The sequence below is a fragment of the Homo sapiens genome, chromosome 11, assembly GCF_000001405.40.
Source record: "Homo sapiens chromosome 11, GRCh38.p14 Primary Assembly".
NCBI lineage: Eukaryota > Metazoa > Chordata > Mammalia > Primates > Hominidae > Homo > Homo sapiens.
This window is the reverse complement of record NC_000011.10, coordinates 67,658,954-67,684,340: the sequence shown is the minus strand read 5'-3', so window position 1 is coordinate 67,684,340 and position 25,387 is coordinate 67,658,954. Positions and strand designations below refer to the sequence as shown.

Genomic DNA, 25,387 nt, shown 5'->3' with positions numbered 1-25,387 from the left:
ATACACCATGTATATGTATCAAATCATTGCATGGCACATCTTGACTATATTCAATCTTTATTTGTAAACCCAGTTTTTAAAAATGAAAAATAGTAAAAAAAAAACCACAAAACCAAAATAACTAATTGATACTAGGACATCATAATGGCTACAGTCAAAATGTTTAAAGGGAAAGCGAATTCTGTAAATAACTATAAATACATTTGAAAACTTAGAACACATTGGTAAATTTCCCAGGGAAGTGTATATCTTACAAAATTTAACACAGGAAGAAACAGAGTGCCTGAATTGACATCTGGCCTTTTAAAAAATTGCACCAAAGCCATGCACAGTGGCTCATGCCTGTAATCCCAGCACTTTGGGAGGCTGAGGCAGGAGGATCGCTTGAGCTCAAGAGTTTGGAACCAGCCTGGGTAACATAGCGAGACCTTGCCTCCAGAAAAAAAGCAAATGAGCTGTGCGTGGTGGTGCATGGCTGTAGTCCCAGGTACTTGGGAGACTGAGGCAAGAGAATCACTTGGACCTGGGAGATGGAGCTTGCAGTGAGCCAAGGTCATGCCACTGCACTCCAGCGAGGTTGTGGAGACCAAGATTTTATCATGCAGATGAATCCTCCAGGTAGCAGGCTTGAAAGATAATAGATCGTGAATGTTTCTTACCAGACTTAAGAGTGTGTTCTATCAGTAAGTCCAAAAGGGAGGAGGGTATAACGAGGCATGTCTGGCCCCTGCTTCCCATCTTGGCCTGAAATAGTTTTTCAGGTTAAGGTTAGAATGCCCTTGGCTGAGAGGAGGGGTCAATTTAGATGGTTGGGTGTTTTAGAATTTTATTTCTGGTTTATTGTCTTCCCCTTCTGGCCAAGATTTGCCAGAGGCAAGATCAATGGCCACCAAAACTTTTATTTTATTCCCTGGCATTGCCAGGGCAGCAAGGCTGCCTGCCCCAGGTCCATCCTGTCCCTTGGTGGGACTACATATGGCCAAGAGACATAGAGTCAAAGATTTATAGCCAATTTAAATGTTCTAGGAAAGATGGATGTGAACAGGCATTCATTAACTTTTTTTGTTTTGGTTTGGTTTTTTGAGACGAGGTCTCACTCTGCCACCCAGGCTGGAGTGCAGTGGCATGATCTCGGCTCACTGCAACTTCTGCCTCCCGGGCTCAAGAAATCCTCCCACTTCAGCCTCCCAAGTACCTGGGACCATAGGTGTGCACCACCGTGCCTGGAAAATTTTTGTGTACAAACAAAAAGCCACTTTCTGGTCTCGGCCGCAGAAGCGAGATGACGAAGGGAGCATCATCGTTTGGAAAGCATCGCAATAAGACACACACGTTGTGCCGCTGCTGTGGCTCTGAGGCCTACCACCTTCAGAAGTCGACCTGTGGCAAATGTGGCTACTCTGCCAAGCGCAAGAGAAAGTATAACTGGAGTGCCAAGGCTAAAAGATGAAAAACCACCAGAACTGGTCGAATGAGGCACCTAAAAATTGTATAACACAGATTCAGGCATGGATTCCGTGAAGGAACAACACCTAAACCCAAGAGGGCAGCTGTTGCAGCATCCAGTTCATCTTAAGAATGTCAACAATTAGTCATGCAATAAATGTTCTGGTTTTAAAAAATAAAAAAATAAAATAAAATAAAATAAAAGCCAAAGGTGAGGTTATAAAATTGACTTTATGTAAGGAGACCCCTTGAAACTATTGCTACAGAATAAAAGATGAAATGCTCCTGATTATTGTAAACACAAAGTTGCATGCAGGATTGTGTAAAGACAATGCCAGGTTGGACTGCCAGAATGAGCCAACAGCGCGTGATGTGCTTCCCCCGGCAGAGAGCCTATGAATGGATATGCAGTCAGGGAGGTTTCACATCACCAAGATTCCTATCCCAGAAAAGCAGATGTTCATAGCTCTGGGAATGGAATGCGACCCTTGTAGAGAGCCTATAAATGGACACATGAGGGGCCCCTGTCCATATGGATAAGATAGGGCTAAAAATGCCCTCATCTTGCCATGGCTCTTCTAGGCCTCTTTAGGGTTAAGGCACACTCCCTTCTGAGAATTTCTGGTCTAACCGGTTGTCTAGCTTCACGTCCTGTTTCTACAGATTGTTTGTAACCAGCTTTTGCTGCAACTGTTACCGCTGATTAATATCTTGCTAATCATAGGTTATGGAAAGCCTGTGTTTCTGTTTTTAGGCTCTGTTAGAAATTACTGATGCACACGCTATATTATAAATTCTTATCCCTGTATACTGTACTTCTGCATACAGATGTTATGTTAAAGAATTACTTCATCCCCATGTGACCATCTCACCTCATAATCAAATGACCCTAAATCCCGCACTAACCTACCCCCGCCCTCACTAAACTTAATAATAAATGCTGGTATATCCAGTGCATTGTTGGCACTGCAGGACCAGAAGGCAGTGACCCCCCCGGACCCAGCTTTCACTATCTTGTGTGTGTTTATTATTTTTCGACCTGCCAATCTGCCTGGGAACAAAGAGAGAGCCCCATTGCATTGCGGGCTGCTGGCCAGATCCCGCAATAACTTTATCTATCTTTAATTTCTATGTGTTGAGCTACTGTAATCTTGGTTTTAGTTATAGACTTATAGCAATTAACTTATAGCAAAACATAAGCATTACTATAACCTTTTAAGCTAAGGAATTTAGATACTTTTGTGGTGCTGCAGTGCTTTTTGTGGCCTTCTAGTAATTTGTTCTAAGATGGCTGGTAAAACTTTTAAAAATATATATCTATCTGCATAAATCTCCTAACTAGGAGTATTATGCCCAGGAGGCTTTGTCTAGGAGGATCTTTGTATCCTCTCCGTAAAAATTGTCTTTTAATTCTACAGGAAGCAGAAAATTCTTTGTGGTTGGGAATGGATAAAAAAGTGCCTGTATGGTTTGGCTGTGTCCCCACCCAAATCTCATCTTGAACTGTGGTTCCCATAATCCCCATGTGTGGTGGGAGTGACCTGGTGGGAGGTAATAGAATTATGGGGGCAGTTTGCCCCATGCTAATCTCGTGATAGTGAGTAAGTTCTCACAAGTTCTGATGGTTTGATAAGGGGCTTCCCTCTGCTCAGCTCTCATTTTTCCCCTTCCTGCCACCATGTGAAGAAGGATGTGGTTGCTTCCCCTTCCACCATAACTGTAAGTTTCCTGAGACCTCCCTAGCCATGCTAAACTGTGAGTCAATTAAACCTCTTTCCTTTATAAATTACCCAGTCTCAGGTATGTCTTTATTAGCAGTGTGAGAACAGACTAATACAGTGCCACACATTGGCTCAGAAGTCAAAAGTCCCTTTGTCCTTTGCCCAGCTGTTTAGGCATTTGTGTACCCATCCTTGATTTGGAGGATCTGAGCTAACAATATCCCTCAAACCCTGCCCTTACAATGTCACGTGCCCACCTCTTCCACAACAGTCCCTGGGCCCAGAGGGAGGGTGCTTGTATAGTTTCAACAGCAGGGCATTTGCAGTAAAAAGCAAATTGGGCCCAGTGGGGTGCCAAATGAGAGAGGTTAGCATCTCTAGTCTTCAGAATGCCATGATTCTGCTTTCCTTGGAGGTAAAACAAGGAGAGATAAATAACATTAACAATTTGACAATTGGCCAGGTGCGGTGGCTCACATCTGTAATCCTAGAACTTTGGGAAGCCGAGGCAGGTGGATCACTTGAGCCCAGGAGTTTGAGACCAGCCTTGGCAACATGGCAAAACCCTGTCTCTAAAAAATATACAAAAATTAGCAGAGCCTGGTGGTGTGTGCCTGTAGTCCCAGCTACTCAGGAGGCCGAGGCTGGAGGATTTCTTGAGCCCAGGAGGCAGAGGTGGCAGTGAGCCAAGATCTTGCCACTGCACTCCAGCCTGGGTGATAGATACTCTGTCTCAATCATAATGATAATAATTTGACAATTAAGAGTATTTGTGTGTCAGAACAGACAAAGGAATCTATTCCATCAGGGCACCAACTGAAAATATGAAGAAAAATTATAATCTGGTACTCTTTTTTCTTGAGATGGAGTCTCACTCTGTCACCCAGGCTGGAGTGTGGTAGTGCAATCTCGGCTTACTGCAAGCTCCACCTCCCTGGTTCAAGTGATTCTCCTGCCTCAGCCTCCTGAGTAGCTGGGATTACAGGTGCGCATCACCACGCCCGGCTAATTTTTGTATCTTTAGTAGAGATGGGGTTTCATCATGTTGGTCAGGCTGGTCTCAAACTCCTGACCTCGTGACCCACCCACCTCGGCCTCCCAGAGTGCTGGGATTACAGGCATGAGACACCATGCCTGGCCTCTAATCTGGTTCTTTAGAGGCTTATTGTAGCCAAGAGATAATTCATGATTCAATCTGCACTCAAAAACAAAAGTCAGGGCTGGAATCTAGTAATAAGTGTTATAATTTTCCTTTGAAAGAATTTCTCTTTCTAGCCCTCCTTTTGTACCAGAGAGAAATTATAGTAAGACCAATTTATGTGCAAAATAAGTTTTAGGCTTATTATACTTGGCCTGATTTTTTCGCACAAAATGCAGCAAGATTTGATTGGTCATATAGGCTCTTATTAATTTGGTTTGATGGGAATGGTGTGCCTTCTGAAATGTAACTTAAAGGTTCTTACTTTTTTTTTTTTCACGCCATTCTCCTGCCTCAGCTTCCCAAGTAGCTGGGACTACAGGTGCCTGCTACCATGCCCAGCTAATTTTTTGTATTTTTAGTAGAGACAGGGTTTCACTGTGTTAGCTAGGATGGTCTTGATCTCCTGACCTAGTGATCTTCCCACTTCCACCTCCCAAACTGCTGGGATTACAGGCATGAGCCACTGTGCCTGGCTTTGTTTTTTTTCTTTTTTTTTTCTTTTGAGATGGAGTCTCGCTCTTTCACCCAGGCTGGAGTGCTACGGTGAGATCTCAGCTCACTGCAACCTCCACCTCCCAGATTTAAGTAATTCTCCTGCCTCAGCCTCCCAAGTAACTGGGATTACAGGTGCACGCCACAATGCATGGCTAATTTTTTTTGTATTTTTAGTAGAGACGGGGTTTCATCATGTTGGTCAGGCTGGTCTTGAACTCCTGACCTCAAGTGATCCGTCCACCTCAGCCTCCCGAAGTGCTGGAATTACAGATGTGAGCCACTGCACCTGGCCCCTGATTTTTTTTCCATAAGTTATTGGGATACAGGTGGTATTTGGTTACATGAGTAAATTCTTTAGTGGTGATTTGTGAGATCCTGGTGCAGCCATCACCTGAGCAGTATACACTGCACCATACTTGTTGTCTTTTATCCCTCACCCCCTTCCCACTCTTCCCTCCAAGTCCCCAAAGTCCATTGTATCATTCTTATGCTTTGCGTCCTCATAGCTTAGCTCCCACATATCAGTGAAAACATACGATGTTTGGCTTTCCATTCCTGAGTTACTTCACTTAGAATAATAGCCTCCAATCTCATCCAGATCATTGCAAATGCTGTTAATTCATTTCTTTTTATAGCTGAGTAGTATTCAAACATATATATATATATACCATTAGTGTATATATATACCATAGTATGTATATATATACCATAGCGTGTATATATATCATAGTATGTATATATATGCCATAGCGTGTATATATATATATATAGACACCATAGTGTGTATATATACACCATAGTGTGTGTGTATATATATATCATAGTGTATATATATATATATGTACCATAGTATATATATACACAGTACTGTGTGTGTGTATATATATATCATAGTTTCTTTGGTCATGAAATCCTTGCCTAAGCCAATGTCTAGAAGGGTTTTTCCAATGTCATCTCCTAGAATTTGTATAGTTTCAGCTCTTGGGTTTAAGTCCTTAATCCATCCTGAGTTGATTTTTGTGTAAGGTGAGAGATGAGGATCCAGTTGCATTCTCCTACATGTGGCTAGCCAATTATCCCAGGACCATTTGTTGAAAAGGGTGTCCTTTCCCCACTTTATGTTTTTGTTTATTTGTTGAAGATCAGCTGCCTGTAAGTATTTGGGTTTATTTCTGGGTTCTCTATTCTGTTCCATTGGTCTGTGTGCCTAGTTTTACACCGATATGTCACTGTTTTGGTGACTATGGCCTTAGAGTATAGTTTGAAATCAGGTAGGTAGTATGATGCCTCCAGATTTGTTCTTTTGGCTTAGTCTTGCTTTTGCTGTGCGGGCTCTTTTTTGGTTCCATATGAAGTTTAGAATTGTTTTTTCTAACTCTGTGAAGAAAGATGGTGGTGTTTTGATGGAGATTGTGTTGAATTTGTAGATTGCTTTTGGCAGTATGGCCATCTTCACAATACTGATTCTACCCATCCATGAGCATGGGATGTGTTTCCATTTGTTTGTGTCATCTATGATTTCTTTTAGCAGTGTTTTGTAGTTTTCCTTTAGAGGTCTTTCGACTTCTTTTTTAGGTATATTCTAAAGTTGTTTTGTTTTGTTTTTTTGTTTGTTTTTTTGCTATCGTCAAAGGGATTGAATTCTTGATTTGATTCTCTGCTTGGTCGCTGTTGGTGGATAGAAGAGCTACTGATTTGTGTACATTAATTTTGTATCCAGAAACTTTGCTGAATTCTTTTATCAGTTTTAGGATCTTTCTGGAGGAGTCCTCAGGGTTTTCAAGGTAAACAATTATATCATCAGCAAACAGGGACAGTTTGACTTCCTCTTTATCGATTCAGATGCCCCTATTTCTTTTTCTCATCTGATTGCTCTGGCTAGGACTGCCAGTAATATGTTGAAGAGGAGTGGTGAGAGTGGGCATCCTTGTCTTGTTCCGGTTCTCTGCGGGAAGCCTTTCAACTTTTTCCCGTTCAGTATTATGTTGGCTGTGGTTTTGTCATAGATGGCTTTTATTACATTAAGATATGTCCCTTGTATACTGATTTTGCTGAGGGTTTTAATCATAAAAGGATGCTGGATTTTGTCAAATGCTTTTTCTGCATCTATTGAGATGATCATGTGATTTTCATTTTTAATTCTGGTTATGTGATGCATCACATTTATTGACCCTCCTACGTTAAACCACCCCTGCATCTCTGGTATGAAACCCACTTGATCATGGAGGATTATCTTTTTGATATGGTGTTGAATTCGGTTAGCTAGTATATTGTTAAGGATTTTAGCATCTATGTTCATCAAGGATATCAGTCTGTCATTTCCTTTTTTGGTTGTGTCCTTTCCCGGTTTTGGTATTAGGATGATGCTGGCTTCATAGAATGAATTAGGGAGGGCTCCTTCTTTCTCTATCTTGTGGAATAGTGTCAAAAGGATTGGTACCAATTCTTCTTTGACTGTCTGGTAAAATTCTGCTGTGAATCCTTCTGGTCCTGGACTTTTTTTTTGTTGGTAATTTTAAAATTACCACTTCCATCCCGCTGCTTGTTATTGGCCTGTTCAGGGTATCTAATTCTTCCTGATTTAAACTAGGGGGGTTGTATTTTTCCAGGAATGTAACCATTGCTTCTAGGTTTTCTAGTTTATGTGTGTAAAGGTGTTCACCATAGCCTTGAATGCTCTTTTATATTTCAGTGGTGTCAGTTGTAATATCTCCTGTTTCATTTCTCAGTGAGTTTATTAGGATTTTCTCTCTTCTTTTCTTGGTTAATCTTGCAAATGATCTATCAATTTTATTTATCTTTTCAAAGAACAAGTTTTTGTTTCATTTACCTTTTGTATATTTTTTCTGTTTCAATTTCATTTAGTTCTGCTCTAATCTTGGTTATTTCCTTTCTTCTGCTTGGTTTGGGTTTGGATTGTTCTCGTTCCTCTGTTCCTTGAGGTGTGATCTTAGATTGTCTGTGCTCTTTCAGACTTTTTGATGTAGGCATTTAGGGCTATGAACTTTCCTCTTAGCACAGCCTTAGCTGTATCCCAGAGGTTTTGATAGGTTGTGTCACTGTTGTCATTCAGTTTGAAGAATTTTTTAATTTCCATCTTGATTTTGTTTTTGACCCAATGCTCATTCAAGAGCAGGTTATTTAATTTCCAGTTATTTGCATGGTTTTGAAGGTTCTTTTTGGAGTTGATTTCCAGTTTTATTCCACCGTGGTCTAAGAACATGCCTGATATAATTTCATTTTTCTCTTGTTGCCCAGGCTGGAGTGCAATGGTGTGCTCTCAGCTCACTGCAACCTCTGCTTCCTAGGTTCCAGCAATTCTCCTGCCTCAGCCTCCCGAGTAGCTGGGATTACAGGCACATGCCACCACGCCTGGCTAATTTTTTGTATTTTTAGTAGAGACAGGGTTTCACCATGTTGGCCAGGCTGTTCTGGAACTCCTAACCTCAAGTGATCCACCAGCTTCGGCCTCCCAAAGTGCTGGGATTACAGGCATGAGCCACCGCACCCGACCTATTTTACATTTTAACAATTGCTACTGAGGTTGAGCATATTTTAATTTATTTACGTCTATTCAGGCTTCTTGTCAGTTCAGTTTAACAAAACAAAACAAAACAGCTTATTGAGATAGCATTCACATCCCATACAACTCACCCATTTACAGTGTACAATTCAGTGGTTTGGAGGCAGTGGGCCTCCCCAGTGGCCATAACCCATCTGCTGCTCTTAGATGGGCCTTAGCATTCTGCCCTGTATTCCCTTCCCCATCCCGAGGTCCCTTCCTGGTGTCACATTGGCATTTACATCTTTAGCTACCGAAGATTCCAGGGCCAGGGCTTGGTCTCAGGCTGTGGCCTCCGCTGGGCTGTCTCCAGTCACAACCAAGGGTTATCTCAGATGTCCCTCCTGCCCACAGGGCTGCACACTCTGCCAAGAGACTCTCTACAGCCCTCAGCAGGGCGTGTCCTTGGTCTCAGGCTTGGGGGAAGGTGGGGTGGGGACAGAGTCAGGCCATCCATGAAGGACAGTGGCAGGACCTGAGCTCATTCTGCTCCCTGGAACCTAGAAGGTGCTCAGCAAATACTTGTGGAAACATTAGCGGGCAACATTGAGGGGCACTGATTTTGTGCCAGGAGCTGTGATCTGCCTTTTCCATTCTCACGTCTCCCTCTGTGACCCTCTCAAGAACCATGGCAATTAGGTGTTATTGTTACTTCCGAAAGGCTCAGAGACGTTAAGTAACCTACCCACGGTTGCACAGTAAATAAATAAACCAATGAACAATGCGCCATCCTAGAGCTACAGGTGCCGTCGCCCATCAAGGGTCTCTCTGCAAAGATCTGAGCCCCTTCCTCTGCCCTGAGTATGCCAGCTGGGCACACTGAGAGTGGAAATAGAGCCACAGTTGCTCATCTTGACCTGTGAAGCCTGAAGAGTGAGGACAGGAGAGGAGGGAGATGAAGATTTAGCATAGAGACCCTAGGAGGGGCCATGGGGGGCATGGGACCACTGTGGCTGGGGCCTGGGAGGACTTCCTGGCGAAGGCAGCATTTGCCACCAGGATCCTGCTGATATTTTCATCCTGTGACCTTCCCCTGGGGTTCTTTTTTCCTGATCAGGTAACTCCCTGCTAGCCCATTCCAGGAAACACAGAGCAAAGCCTCAGACAGCCTTGACTTGTCTAACCTGTTCCCAAGCCGGCTGTGCAGTGTGGTCCCTGGGGGCAGGGCCCTGGAAGAACAGGGCAGACACCGAGCAGCTATAGGTCCTGGCAGTGAGACAAGGGTAGGCATGGGAATTGGGAGGTGCAGCCCTGCCCCACGCCTGTTGGGTAACACTGAGCATCACCCCATTGATTACCCCATTGCCAGGCGTGGGCACGGGAGTTGGTTTGGGAGCTGCCAGTCTCCTGGGAGGATCGCAGTCAGCAGAGCAGGGCTGAGGCCTGGGGGTAGGAGCAGAGCCTGCGCATCTGGAGGCAGCATGTCCAAGAAAGGGAGTGGAGGTGCAGCGAAGGACCCAGGGGCAGAGCCCACGCTGGGTTATGTGGGGCCACAGGGGTGAGGGGCGGGCAGAGGGAGCTCAGGGTAAAGGACACTGGTGGGAACCAGGGGCATGGAGGGAAGGGGATGTGTGCCCATGGCCCGTGGGTCAGGGGGCAAGCCCACCAAGGGGCCTATGGCTGCAGGGGCCATGGGTACGGGGCTTGCTCAGGAGAGGGAGGTGGGTGCTGGTGTCTTCTGAGCCTCACTTTGCCCTTTGGCAGGCTCCTGGGAAGCAGCCACAGAAATGAAGCCTGTTCCCCAGGAGCCCCAGGGATGGGGACAGACCCCGTCCTCCCTTTGAGGAGCTCCCAGGTTAGAGGAGAAGGCAGCTCTGTGGACAGACAAGGATTGGGTCGGGGGCACCAGGGCTGTGATCAGGAGGTGCCGGAGAATCGGGGATTGGAAGCAGAGAGATTCTTGGCAGTTGAAGCGAAAGTCGGATCTTTGGTTTCAGATGTTAAAAGCAACATGCATTGCTTGTTTCTGGTTCTAGAAATACTACATTCGCATTTAGAAAGTCTGGAAGCTGCAGGAAGATGTTGAGAAGACAGTGAAAGGCACGAGGCACACATTGGCACATGGTGTCACAAGGCTGGTGTGAGGAGAGGGGCTGGGGGGCCTCCCTCCTCGCACTGAGGCTGTGAGGAGGGCAAATCAAGTCGTCTCTGGGAGCCTCGGTTTCCCTGTCCTTCCAACTGGGTAATAATAATAGCTGTGAGGCTCAGATGAGATGTGCATGCCAGCTACCTGGCCCCAGATGCCAGCTCTGACTTCTTTCTGGGCCCTGCACCAGGCATGGCCACTGCCAAGGGAATGAGTCCCCTCTCCATATGACAGGTCCCATCAGGCCTCCACCTTCCTGTGTGTCTTATTTCTCAGCATCTGCCCCCACAGGGCTTTTGCACACGTTGGTCCCTCTGTCCAGATCACCTGCCCTCCAAGAGGCCCTCCCCTACGGCTTCCCCGCAGCAGTCAGAGCCAGGGGTGGGTCTCTGGCCACCTCTGGAAGAAGCCCTGGCCCACCGATCATGTTTGTAATGATATTGTTTCCGGTGTCATTGTTCCGTGTGTAGACTGTGAGCTCCATGGGGGCTGGCCAAGTCTGGGGTGGTCACCTATGGGACCCAGGTCCAGTCAGGAACTGCCTGGTGAGCAGCCAGAGGTCCCCAGTGTAAACCCAGAAAATCTGAGACGGGTCTCAGTTAATTTATAAAGTTTATTTTGCCTGTAATCCCAGCACTTTGGGAGGCCGAGGCGGGCGGATCACGATGTCAGGAGATCGAGACCATCCTGGCTAGCACGGTGAAACCCCGTCTCTACTAAAAACACAAAAAATAAGCTGGGTGTGGTGGCGGGCACCTGTAGTCCCAGCTACTCGGGAGGCTGAGGCAGGAGAATGACGTGAACCCGGGAGGCGGAGTTTGCAGTGAGCTGAGATCGCACCACTGCACTCCAGCCTGGGCAACAGAGTGAGACTCCGTCTCAAAAAAAAAAAAAAAGAAAAGAAAAGAAAAGAAAAGAAAGAAAGAAAGTTCATTTTGTGGCCAGGCGTGGTGACTCATGCCTGTAATCCCAGCACTTTAGGAGGCTGAGGCAGGTGCATCACTTGAGGACAGGAGTTTGAAACCAGCCTGGCCAACATGGTGAAATCCTGTCCCTACTAAAAATTATAAAAATTAGCTGGGCATGGGGGCGCATGCCTATAATACCAGCTACTCGGGAGGCTGAGGCAGGAGAATCATTTGAACCTGGGAGGCAGAGGTTGCAGTGAGCCGAGATCATGCCAGTTGCACTCCAGCCTGGGTGACAGAATGAGACTCCATCTTAAAAAAAAAAAAAAGTTAATTTTGCCAAGGTTGAGGACGTGCACCTGTGACACAGCCTGGGGATGTCCTGACAGCATGTGCCCAAGGTGGTCGGGACACAGCTTGGTTTACACACTTTAGGGAGACAGGAGACAGCAATCAATATATGTAAGAAGGCCAGGCACGGTGGCTCACGCCTGTAATCCTAGCACTTTGGGAGGCCAAGGCAGGGATCACCTGAGGTCGGGAGTTTGAGACCAGCCTGACCAACATGGTGAAACCCCGTCTCTACTACAAATATAAAATTAGCCGGGCATGGTGGCAGGCACCTATAATCCCAGCTATTCAGCTATTCGGGAGGCTGAGGCAGGAGAATCGCTTGAATCCGGGAGATGGAGATTGCAGTGAGCTGAGATCCCACCACTGCACTCTGGCCTGGGCAACAAGAGAGAAAGTCTGTCTCAAAAAAAAAAAAAAAATACATATATATATACACACACACACACACACACACACACACACACAAAATACATACATACATATATATATATATATATATATATATATATATATATATATATATATGAAGTACATCGGTTCCATCCAGAAAGGCAGGGACAGCTTGAAGCAGGGGGTGGGGGTGAGGGTTGGGGCAGCTTCCAGGTCACAGGTAGGTGAGAGACTGCATTCTTTTGAGTTTCTGATGAGCCTTTCCAAAGGAGGCAATCAGAATGTGCATCTATCTCGGTGGGCAGAGGGGTGGCTGTGAATAAAATGAGAGGCAGGGGCCCGCACGGTGGCTCATGCCTGTAATCCCAGCACTTTGGGAGGCCAAGGTGGGCGGATCACCTGCGGTCAGGAGTTCAAGACCAGCCTCAACATGGAGAAACCCCATCTCTACTAAAAATACAAAATTATTTGGGCGTGGTGGTGCATGCCTGTAATCCCAGCTACTCGGGAGGTTGAGGCAGAAGAATTACTTGAACCTGGGAGGCAGAGGTTGCGGTGAGCTGAGATCGCAGCATTGCACTCCAGCCTGGGCAACAAGAGCGAAACTCCGTTCCAAAAAAAAAAAAAAAGGGGGGGGAGGCAGGTTGGCCCTGATCAGTTTCCAGCTTGAATTTTCCTTTTAGCTTACTGATTTTGGGGGTCCAAGATATTTTCCTTTCACACCAGTCAGCCCTGCCCCAGCAAGCGCCCGGACCCCTGCCCTGCAGCAGGTGGGCGAGACAAGAAAGCACCTTGCATGAGAGGCAGGGCTTGGGTCCAGCTCCAGCCCCCATCTGTTTCCTCATCCGTCAGGCAGATGCTGCTGGCTCCGTGATTATTTCACCGAGCACCAGATGTGCACATGTGAGGACAGGCGACGACTGCCCAGAAAGGGCAGGGGTTCCTCTGCCCCACCTGCCTCACCTGGGAAAGCTGTGACCACGCTGAGGCCAGGTTCCTGGGATGAACATCAGGACACCTGTGTGCCATAGCTCATCCCAGACTCCTCCAATCCGGGTCTTGATTCAGGCCGGAGGCGGTCATCCCTCCAAAGGCACCAGGGAGCCATGGAAGAGGTTAGAGCTGAGCTGATGTGGCCAGGAGCTGCTTGAGCGCCGGGTGGAGGCTGCTGACGCTCGCATGCCAGGCAAAGCTTTGGGTCAGGGCCCTGGAACCTGGGACCTGGAAGCGCTCCAGGCCAATACCGCCCGCTACCAGAGAAGGGCCCAGGCCCCACCCAGGTTCTAGCCCAAGGGCTTGAGCAAAGACAGTAGATGAATATTTGCAGAGCCCTGTATGCTGCGTCCTCCTCCAGGCCCTCATGCAGGGGGGCCGCACACTGAGTGTGGGGGTCCTGTGCCAGGAATGTGATCACGCTGCCCAGGGGAGGGAGGCGGCATCTGCAGGTGTGGCCAGGAAGGTGCCCAGCATGGCTTCCTGTCTCCTCACATTCTTCAGCTGGGACCTGAGCCGGGCAGGGGCTGCTCTCCTCATCTTGTCATTCACAAGACACGGACTTCTGCCATTGGTTCAGCTGGCTCTGTCCATGGGCGAGCACTGTCCCTGCATCACATATGACAAGAATGCCTGGTGCGGTGCAAGTGCAGATGGGGCCACTGGCCTCCAGGACACTCACTGGGGATGCCAAGGCCCTGCTCACCACCCACCCCCACTGCCCTCAGCAATGCGGGTCTGAGGCAGCAGCCCTGGGCACGGCCCTGTGACCTGCAGCTGAGGGCTGAGATTACTCAAGTCCACACGCAGACACACACACGACACACATGGACACAGACACCCATACACACACAGACACACATGGACACACACACCCATACGCATACAGACACCCATACACACACAGACACACGTGGACACACACACCCATACACACACAGACACCCATACACACACAGACACACGTGGACACACACACCCATACACACACAGACACCCATACACACACAGACACACGTGGACACAGACACCCATACACACACAGACACCCATACACACACACAGACACCCATACACACACAGACACCCATACACACACAGACACATGTGGACACACACACCCATACACATAGAGACACCCATACACACACAGACACCCATACACACACAGACACACGTGGACACACACACCCATACACATACAGACACCCATACACACACAGACACACGTGGACACACACACCCATACGCAGACACCCATACACACACAGACACACGTGGACACACACACCCATACGCAGACACCCATACACACACAGACACACGTGGACACACACACCCATACACACACAGACACCCATACACACACAGACACACGTGGACACACACACCCATACACACACAGACACCCATACACACACAGACACACGTGGACACAGACACCCATACACACACAGACACCCATACGCACACAGACACCCATACACACACAGACACCCATACACATACAGACACACCCATACACACATAGACACACATGGACACACACACCCATACACATATAACACCCATACACAGATACACATGGACACAGCACCCATACACACACAGACACACAGACACACAGACACCCATAGACACACAGGCACTGATACATACACAGACACCCATACACACGCAGACACACAGACATCCATACACAAACACCCATACACACACAGACATCCATACACACACAGACACACATGGACACACACACCCACACACATACAGCACCCATACACAGACACACATGGACACAGCACCCATACACACACAGACACACAGACACCCATAGACACACAGACACTGATACATACACAGACACCCATACAGACACAGACACACAGACATCCATACACAAACACCCATACACACACACAGACATCCATACACACACAGACACACACACACAGACACCCATACACAGAAAGGCACACAAAGACACAGACACACACATAGCCATACACATGAAGATGCACAGAACACAAAGACACACAGACACACAAAGAAACACAGACACCCACACAAAGACACACAGACACACAAAGACACACGGACACACGAAGACACACAGACACCCATACACGCAGAGACACAGACATCCATACACACAAAGAGACACAGACACCCATATACACATACACACACAGACACCCATACACACAAAGAGACACAGACACCCATACACACATACACACACCCATACACACAGACTCCCATACACATACAGACACACAGCACCCATACACACACAGACACCCATACACACAAAGACACACAGCACCCATACATACACAGACACACACAGACACCCATACACACAAAGACACACAGCACCCATACATACACAGACACACACAGACACCCATACACACAAAGACACACAGCACCCATACATACACAGACACACACAGACACCCATACACACAAAGACACACAGTACCCATACATACACAGACACACACAGACACCCATACACACACAAAGACAGACAGCCATACACACACACACACATAGACACACAAAGACACAAAGCTATACAAAGACACACAGACACAAAGAAACACACAGACACACGGATACACAAAGACACACACAGACACACGGATACACAAAGACACAGGATTTGCGCACCATTCTTGAGCCCCTGGGCTGGGATGCTCAGAATCCCGTTGCTAGGTGCCTGGCAATCCTCTTGAGTGTCCCCCTGAGCCCCTTCCCCCACCCCCAGGGTCCTGATCCTTCCTCCTCTCCAGACCCCACTGGGGTTCCCTTGGGCCCTCAGGCTAAAGCCCAGAGGGGTTCATGCCCTGGGGCAGTCTCAGCTCTGCCAACCTACCCCCACCTGCACCTGTGCCCACCCATACCAGCCCCGGAGCTCTCTCCTCTGCTTCTGCTTCCTTCTACGACCAGCAGAGTGCCACCCCCTCCCCAGAGCAGGTGCCAAACCCTCCTCAGGGCTAGGGCATGCCTATGGCTTCAGTTTCCCCATCTGCGACCTCAAAGCTCTGTGATCTCTGAAGCAAAGAACCCTCCGAGTCCCTCGTTTAGTCCCAGAAGGGAGGGAGGCCCAGGGGAGAGCTCTGTTCCATCTGAGTGGTCTGGGTGTAGGGGTGGCAAGGTGCCAGCGTGGGTGGGTGTGTGTCTGCGCAAGGAGGGGAGGTGCAGGGAAGAGCTGGGATGGTGGGCAGCAGGGTCACCCGAGGTGTGTGTGTTGGGCTTCCAGGGTGGGCGTCCAGGAGGGGGATCCCCTCCCTGGAGTAGGGGAGGTCAAGCCCAGGGCCCTCCCTCATGGGCACACCTGGGAGGCAGGTGAGTTGGGGGTGGTGCAGGCAGCCCCAGCCCCGTGGGGTCATTCGAGTGGGTCTGTGTGTGTATGAGGTGGGGTGTCTGTGAGCCCCCATGGGTGCAGGTGGGGCAAGGGTGTGCAGACCCTGGGGTGGCTGGAGGGTGCCCGTGAAGGAGGGGCAGCCCTGGCCACCCAGTTCAAGCCACCCCATCCGGCAGGATGGACCCCTTCGAGGACACGCTGCGGCGGCTGCGTGAGGCCTTCAACTGAGGGCGCACGCGGCCGGCCGAGTTCCGGGCTGCGCAGCTCCAGGGCCTGGGCCACTTCCTTCAAGAAAACAAGCAGCTTCTGCGCGACGTGCTGGCCCAGGACCTGCATAAGGTGGGCCGTGGAGAGTGGGCCCCGGCAGGGGCTGGAGCAGCGTCCCTGTCCTCTTTCAGGAGGGCCCGTGCCCCCTAGTGACTGGCTATGTCCCTAGTTTTATTCCTGTTTGTTTAACAGACCCCCTCCCTGGCATGTGGAGTGTGGCAGGCACCTGACCTTCACTCCTGAACACTCACAGCCACCCTGTGATGCAGGCTCCATGGCTGTCCCCATGTTGCAGATGAGGAAACTGAGGCACTCAGGGGTTAACATCGCTTGCCCAAGGCCACACAGCCAGGAAGTCACAGATCAGAATTGCAGCCATGCGCAGTTCCCAGGGGACGGCAGTGCCTCCCATAGGAGCTGTATTTATATGTCCAGTGGTGGTGGTGCCTGCGTGTGCCCTCCTCAAATTCTAGACCCCTCCTGGCCCAGGTCTGGGCCTGACCACTCTGAATTCCACCTCCACCACAGCCAGCTTTCGAGGCAGACATATCTGAGCTCATCCTTTGCCAGAACGAGGTTGACTACGCTCTCAAGAACCTGCAGGCCTGGATGAAGGATGAACCACGGTCCACGAACCTGGTGAGCCCTGCTGGCAGGCGGCAGGAGGGCAGGGCAGGGCACCGGGTAGCTCTGGCCCAGGCCCCCTTCTGCCCCTGAGGCCCCGGGCGAGTCACTGATTTTCTCGTCTCTCCTGGGATTCCATCGCACAGGGAGCTGAGGCCCCAAGTGTGCAGTGGGTGGGCTTTGGGGTGGCCCTTGGCAGGGCCTCACTGTCTACCCTGTGCCTCAGTTCATGAAGCTGGACTCGGTCTTCATCTGGAAGGAACCCTTTGGCCTGGTCCTCATCATCGCACCCTGGAACTACCCACTGAACCTGACCCTGGTGCTCCTGGTGGGCGCCCTCGCCGCAGGTGAGGAGGGCGTTCCGAACCCCATGCTCTCCCCGCCCAGTAGCCCCTCCCAAAGAGGCCCCTGGAATCTTGCTCTGAGGTACCCTGGGCCTCACATGCCCTCTGAGCCCAGCCCCTGGTTGGGCATGGGGACCCTGGGCTCCCCCAACGACGTCCCCATCTGCCCCTGCAGGGAGTTGCGTGGTGCTGAAGCCGTCAGAAATCAGCCAGGGCACAGAGAAGGTCCTGGCTGAGGTGCTGCCCCAGTACCTGGACCAGGTGAGGGTGGCCCTGCCCCAGCAGTGCCCGACGTCCCCATATATCACCCCTGTGGGCTGAGGAGGCCCGGCTGGCCCCGAGCCCGCCCCGAGCCTCTCATTCCACCTTGCAGAGCTGCTTTGCCGTGGTGCTGGGCGGACCCCAGGAGACAGGGCAGCTGCTAGAGCACAAGTTGGACTACATCTTCTTCACAGGTGAGGGGGCCAGGCCAGGGTCCCAGAGTAGGTGGAGGGGATCATCAGGAGAGAGGGTGGGAGGGTTGTGGAGGGAGGAGGCTGGGGCCAGCAGTGGGGGCACGTGGGGAGCTGGAGCTGGCACAGAGTCCGTCTGCCTGCATAGGCCACGCCCTGGGCACATTGCAGCAACTGGATCCAGGAGTGGCCAGGCTGGAGGCAGGTCCCAGTGGGTGAGCCAGACCGGCCAGGAGAAGGGTGAGGCGGGCCAGGACTTTCTATGAAGAAAGCGGGCAAGAGTCAGGTGCCTGGAGTGTGTGGTCAAGGCCAGTTGAGGATGGGGTCTCCTCACCATGTCCCTAGGAAGCCCGCCGACTCCAACACCTCTCCAGGGAGGAGCAGGCTCTGGGCTGGGCCATCCTGCCTGGTCCAGGTCACTGACTGGCCACTCTGGTTTCCTTCCACGCCCAGGGAGCCCTCGTGTGGGCAAGATTGTCATGACTGCTGCCACCAAGCACCTGACGCCTGTCACCCTGGAGCTGGGGGGCAAGAACCCCTGCTACGTGGACGACAACTGCGACCCCCAGACCGTGGCCAACCGCGTGGCCTGGTTCTGCTACTTCAATGCCGGCCAGACCTGCGTGGCCCCTGACTACGTCCTGTGCAGCCCCGAGATGCAGGAGAGGCTGCTGCCCGCCCTGCAGAGCACCATCACCCGTTTCTATGGCGACGACCCCCAGAGCTCCCCAAACCTGGGCCACATCATCAACCAGAAACAGTTCCAGCGGCTGCGGGCATTGCTGGGCTGCAGCCGCGTGGCCATTGGGGGCCAGAGCAACGAGAGCGATCGCTACATCGGTGAGTCCTGCTGCCCTACCGCAGCCCACCTGGGCCAAGACCCTTTCTCAATGGAGGGCCCACGGCTGGGCCACGAGTCTGGACTCGCACCTGAAACCCGGCCCCACTATCAGAGCCCGGCCTTGAGCCATGGCTCTGGTGCCACGATTCCGTCTCTGTGCTTCTGAGCCTGTGGCCCCATGAGGCCATACTCTGGTCCCTCAGCCCTGGATTCACTGAGCTCAGATTCCAGGGCTCCAGGGCCCAGCGTGCTAAGGTGAATTCCCATCCCACCACCGGCTGTCCTGAAAGGCCGTAACCTCTGATTCTCCGAGCCCATGATCCCCAGGTTCTAAACTCTGACGGCCCCATCCTGAGCCCCCAGTCTCCTGGGCCGTATGACTCAGCAGCTCATGGGACACTGCAGCTCCAACATTCTGGGACGCTGCTGCCTCATGAACTCCAAGGTTCTAAGATCCCATCACCCCTGACTGTGAGACCAAGGTCGGGGGATTCTCTGCGCCCCACAGGCCCTGAGCAGGCTGGGGAAGCCCTAGGGTCCCTTCTGGGGGGCTGTGGGGAAACTTTCTTCCCTAAACACTCCAAAGCCTGAAGCGCTGGGAAGTCAGACCTTGGGATCCTGGCCTGGAGCCCTGGCCCATGCCCCTGTCCCCACCTCTACCCTACCCCTGGGGGCAGTCCTGACTGTGGCCCCAGGGCTGAGCCGTCTCTGGTGCCCGCAGCCCCCACGGTGCTGGTGGACGTGCAGGAGACGGAGCCTGTGATGCAGGAGGAGATCTTCGGGCCCATCCTGCCCATCGTGAACGTGCAGAGCGTGGACGAGGCCATCAAGTTCATCAACCGGCAGGAGAAGCCCCTGGCCCTGTACGCCTTCTCCAACAGCAGCCAGGTGGGGGTGCGGCCGGGTTGGGGGCAATGGAGGGGCTGAAAGGGGCACAGACTGGCACCTTTCCTTTCACAGCCCTTCCCAGCAAGGCTTTAGAGCAGCAGATGCCTCAAGGGTGACTATATCTAGGCCACCTGGTACCACTGCATCCGGCGCAAGGATGCCTGGCAGAGAGGACAGGGTCCAAACCCACCAGACACTTAGCGGGTCCATCCTCTGTCCTGGCCAGAGCAGCCTGCACTTGGACTGTGCAAAGGTTCTGCACAGGCAAGCAGAGGCCCGGAATGGAGGTCAGGGACAGAGCAGAGCAGGGGCCTGATAGAGCCCAGCGGGTCGCGGTGGGGCCCGCATACCACACTGCAGCATCCTAACCTCACCGTCGCGACTCAAGGCTGCCGGCTCCCCATGATCCTGCAGGGCTTCCTGGTCTTTGCGCCATGGTGGTAATCACCCCCATGGCACCCCGACCGTCACTGAGAGGGTGCTGTCCCCAGAAGATGCTTAGAGCGGAGATTATTGCCCGTTAGAGGGTGGAGGGGCAGGTGAGGATGAGGCTCACCTCCGCTGTGGAATGTGCGGGGCTCAAGCCCTCTTCTCATGACTAGAGCCCAACACCCACCTTCTCACTCCCTGGCAGGTTGTGAACCAGATGCTGGAGCGGACCAGCAGCGGCAGCTTTGGAGGCAATGAGGGCTTCACCTACATATCTCTGCTGTCCGTGCCATTCGGGGGAGTCGGTGGGTCCCTGCCCATTTCCACCCCTAGGGAAGCTTGGCTTTGGTACCCCAGACCCAGGAAGTCCCTTCACTCACTGTTCAACCTTGATCCACACCCTGGGCCTCTCAAGGCCTCAGTTTCCCTATCTGTAAAATGGCTCTGTGAGTGGCCTGGCTCTCTCTGAGCTCCCTGCCAGCTGTGTGCCCTGGCCGGGGCAGTGGGCTGCTGCTGGGGCTCCATGGGCTGCCTGGTCTCAGGCCCTTGTTCTCTGTGCCCACACAGGCCACAGTGGGATGGGCCGGTACCACGGCAAGTTCACCTTCGACACCTTCTCCCACCACCGCACCTGCCTGCTCGCCCCCTCCGGCCTGGAGAAATTAAAGGAGATCCACTACCCACCCTATACCGACTGGAACCAGCAGCTGTTACGCTGGGGCATGGGCTCCCAGAGCTGCACCCTCCTGTGAGCGTCCCACCCGCCTCCAACGGGTCACACAGAGAAACCTGAGTCTAGCCATGAGGGGCTTATGCTCCCAACTCACATTGTTCCTCCAGACCGCAGGTTCCCCCAGCCTCAGGTTGCTGGAGCTGTCACATGACTGCATCCTGCCTGCCAGGGCTGCAAAGCAAGGTCTTGCTTCTATCTGGGGGACGCTGCTCGAGAGAGGCCAAGAGGCCGCAGAACATGCCAGGTGTCCTCACTCACCCCACCCTCCCCAATTCCAGCCCTTTGCCCTCTCGGTCAGGGTTGGCCAGACCCAGTCACAGGGGCAGTGTCACCCTGGAAAATACAGTGCCCTGCCTTCTTAGGGGCATCAGCCCTGAACGGTTGAGAGCGTGGAGCCCTCCAGGCCTTTGCTCTCCCCTCTAGGCACACGCGCACTTCCATCTCTGCCCCATCCCAACTGCACCAGCACTGCCTCCCCCAGGGATCCTCTCACATCCCACACTGGTCTCTGCACCACCCCTCTGGTTCACACCGCACCCTGCACTCACCCACAGCAGCTCCATCCACTGGGAAAACTGGGGTTTGCATCACTCCACTGCACAGTGTTAGTGGGACCTGGGGGCAAGTCCCTTGACTTCTCTGAGCCTCAGTTTCCTTATGTGAAAGTTGCTGGAACCAAAATGGAGTCACTTATGCCAAACTCTAATAAAATGGAGTCGGGGGGCCACATAGAAGCCCTCACACACACATGCCCGTAACAGGATTTATCACAAGACACGCCTGCATGTAGACCAGACACAGGGCGTATGGAAAGCACGTCCTCAAGACTGTAGTATTCCAGATGAGCTGCAGATGCTTACCTACCACGGCCGTCTCCACCAGAAAACCATCGCCAACTCCTGCGATCAGCTTGTGACTTACAAACCTTGTTTAAAAGCTGCTTACATGGACTTCTGTCCTTTAAAAGCTTCCCCTTGGCTGTGGCCCTCTGTGTATGCCTGGGATCCTTCCAAGCACTCATAGCCCAGATAGGAATCCTCTGCTCCTCCCAAATAAATTCATCTGTTCTGGAGAGCCTATCTTTCTGAGGTTGACACTTATCTTGCAGAATGGGGTTCCCACCCATCTTTGATCATGAAGGAAATCTCAGATTTAGAACTATGTTGCCCAGGCTGCTCTTGAACTCCTGGGGTCAAGCAGTCTACCTCGGCCTCCCAGAATGCTGGGATTACAGGCGTGAGCCACCATTCCCAGCCCACATTTCTTAAAAATGGTATTTCAGTCCAAACCTTAGTAATACAATCGATGTTTCTAATTGTGTCCTGCTTACAGGGACCAGGGTTTGTTTTTCGTTTTTGTTTTTTGTTTTTTTATTTTTTGAGGTGGCATCTCCCTCTGTAGCCCAGGCTGAAGTACAGAGGCACAATCTCGGCTCACTGCAACCTCTGCCTCCCGGGTTCAAGTGATTCTCCTGCCTCAGTCTCCCTAGTAGCTGGGATTACAGGTGCCCGCCACCATGCCCAGCTAATTTGTTCTATTTTAGTAGAGATGAGGTTTCACCATGTTGGCCAGGCTGGTCTTGAAATTCTGACTTCAGGTGATCCTCCCACCTTGGCCTCTGAAAGTGCTGGGATTACAGGCGTGAGCCACTGTGCCCAGCCCTGAGAGCAGGGTTTTTGTTTGTTTGTTTTTGTTTGTTTGTTTTACTATATATAAATAAGAATGTTCATGAATAGTTTCTGAATTTTGTAGGAATCAAGTAGGGAGAAAAAATGAATAAGTTCCACCTTTGTTCACAAAGGACCCTTGATCGAGTTATTGCAAATGTCGATCAAAAGAGTCAAACTCTGTACAATATTTAAGAGACTTATTCTGAGCCAAAGATGAATGACCACGGCCCGTGACACAGCCCTTAGGAGATCCTGAGAACATGTACCCAAGACTGTCAGGTCACAGCTTGGATTTATACATTTTAGGGAGACGTGACGCATCAATCAATACGTGCAAGATATATGTTGGTTTGGTCCAGAAAGATGGGACAACTCAAAGCAGGGGCTTCCAGGCTATAGGTACATTTAAAATTTTCCTGGTTGACAATTGGTTGAGTTTATCTGAAGACCTGGGATCAACACAAAGGAAATGTTCATGTTAAGATAAAGGATTGTGGAGACCAAGTTTTATTGTGCAGAGGAAGCTCTCAGATAGTAGGCTGTAAAATCTTTCTTTTTCTTTTTTTTTTTTTTTTTTGAGATGGGGTCTTGCTGTGTTGCCCAGGCTGGAGTGCAGTGGAGTGATCTCAGCTCACTGCAACCTCTCCCTCCTGCGTTCAAGTGATTCTCCTGCCTCAGCCTCCTGAGCAGCTGGGATTACAGGCGTGCACCACCACGCCTGGCAAATTTTTGTATTTTTGTAGAGACAGGGTTTCATCACGTTGGCCAGTCTGGTCTTGAACTCCTGACCTCAAGTGATCCACATGCCTCGGCCACCCAAAGAGCTGGGATTACAGGTGTGAGCCACTGCACTGGCCTGAAGTGTTTCTTATCTAACATAAAAGGGTGCCTGGTTCTTAGTTGATTATCTCCTGGATCTGGAAAGAAGTTAGAAAAAAGGGAAAATGGGATTCTCTACAGAATGTAGATTTTTTCCACAGGAGACAACTTTGCAGGGCAGTTTCAAGATATGGCAAGCAAATATATTTGGGGTTAAAATATTTTGATTTCTTCTCTTATTTGTTATGTGAGGTTATGCCAGAGTCAGGTCAGAAAGCAGACCACGCTATAGGGTTAAAATTAAAGCCTCTCTGATGAGACTTTATGGTTTGTAGGGTGTGACTCCCCAGGCCCCTTAGGGAGGAATTTGAGCAAAATAAGAACAAAAAAAATCAGAGTTTAGTCCTCACAAACTATAGGCAGGTTATGACAGAAAATTTCCTTGAATCTGCAAAACAAAATGAGGTGATAGTCTCACATTTAAGTCATAAAAACATTATTCATATCAATTACTTAATTTCATGTAATTATTTTTGTTTTGCTCAATCTTTTTATTTATTTATTTTTAAGACAGAGTCTCGCTCCATCACCCAGGCTGGAGGGCAGTGGTGCAATCTTGGGTCACTGCAACCTCCACCTCCCATGTTCAAGCGATTCTCCTGCCTCAGCCTCCTGAGTAGCTGGGATTACAGTTGCCCGCCACCACACCAGGCTAATTTTTTTGTATTTTTAGTAGAGGCAGGGTTTCACCTTGTTGGCCAGGCTGTTCTCAAACTCCTGGCCTCAAGTGATCCATCCACCTTGGCCTCCCCAAGTGCTGAGATTACAGGTGTGGGCGACAAGCCACCCAGGTGCCAAGGCAAGAGACTGAGGGCACAAGCTGTCCCAGTATAATAAAGAAAATATATAGAATAAGAATAGTTATACTAGAAATAGATTATAGATATGATTGTATATGAGTATCATTAATCATTAGTTTGTAGCATCACTCTTTATTCCAATATTATAATAATCTTTGTTCTATAATTATAACCCAGGAAAAACCAGGCCATACAGAGATAGGAGCTGAAGGGGCACGGTGAGAAGTGACCAGATGAGTGTGAGCCCTCTGTTACGCCTGGACAGGGCCACTAGAGGGCTCCCTGGTCTAGTGGTAACACCAGCACCTGGGAAGGCATCCATTACCTAGCGGACCTTGGTCTAGGCGTAGCATCAGTGCCTGGGGAAGGCACCCGTTACTTAGCAGACTGGGAAAGGGAGTCTCCCTTTTCCTGGGGGAGTTAGAGAAGACTCTGCTCCACCACCTCTTGTGGAAGGCCTGACATCAGTCAGGCCCACCTACAGCCATCTGGTGGCCTGTCTCCCTGTGATGCTGTGCTTCAGCGGTCACGCTCCTGTTTCACATTCATGTTATGCTCCGTACACCTGGCTCTGCCTTCTAGATAGCAGTAGCAGTATTAGTGAAAGTATTAAAGTCTTTGATCTTTCTGAGAAGAGCATAGAAGAAATAATGATGTAAGCTGTCCTCTGTCTCTCCGCCTTGGCTACCTAAAGGGAAAGGCCCCCTGTCTGGTGGACACTTCACTCGCGTGACTTTATCAATCATTGGAGATGACTCACACTCCTTACCCTGCCCCTTTTACCTTGTATCCAATAAATAACAGTGCGGTCAGGCATTTGGGGCCACTACCGGTCTCCACACCTTGGTGGTAGTGGTCCCCTGGGCCCAGCTGTGTTTTCTTCTATCTCTTTGTCTTGTGTATTTATTTCTACCATCTCTCATCTCCACAC

General features: G+C 50.4%; 1 protein-coding gene and 1 pseudogene across 10 annotated transcripts, besides 2 other annotated features; both read left to right on the top strand.

The window, feature by feature from the left end:
- On the top strand, positions 1,256-1,624 carry RPL37P2 (ribosomal protein L37 pseudogene 2; annotated as a pseudogene).
- Positions 3,089-22,186, top strand: ALDH3B2 (aldehyde dehydrogenase 3 family member B2). 10 transcript variants are annotated; one of them, NM_001354345.3, is made up of 11 exons: positions 9,610-9,648; positions 9,735-9,904; positions 16,706-16,868; positions 17,325-17,435; positions 17,647-17,767; positions 17,940-18,025; positions 18,138-18,219; positions 18,670-19,056; positions 19,779-19,945; positions 20,580-20,679; positions 20,942-22,186. In NM_001354345.3, exons 4-11 carry the CDS (start codon positions 17,406-17,408, stop codon positions 21,124-21,126), a joined length of 1,158 nt encoding a protein of 385 aa, NP_001341274.2. In that variant the 5' UTR covers positions 9,610-9,648; positions 9,735-9,904; positions 16,706-16,868; positions 17,325-17,405; the 3' UTR covers positions 21,127-22,186. The 10 variants fall into 10 exon arrangements, with proteins under 10 accessions (NP_001026786.3, NP_001380330.1, NP_001341274.2 ...); XM_047426561.1 differs by having other exon boundaries at positions 9,735-9,905; NM_001031615.3 differs by lacking the exons at positions 9,610-9,648; positions 9,735-9,904 and adding an exon at positions 3,089-3,165.
- Positions 15,960-16,149: an enhancer, noted in NCBI's record as "active region_5125". NCBI's record gives its function as "activates an Ori minimal core promoter by ATAC-STARR-seq in GM12878 lymphoblastoid cells {active_cell/tissue: GM12878}" and the evidence as "EXISTENCE:reporter gene assay evidence [ECO:0000049][PMID:35858748]".
- Positions 24,810-25,039: an enhancer, noted in NCBI's record as "active region_5124". NCBI's record gives its function as "activates an Ori minimal core promoter by ATAC-STARR-seq in GM12878 lymphoblastoid cells {active_cell/tissue: GM12878}" and the evidence as "EXISTENCE:reporter gene assay evidence [ECO:0000049][PMID:35858748]".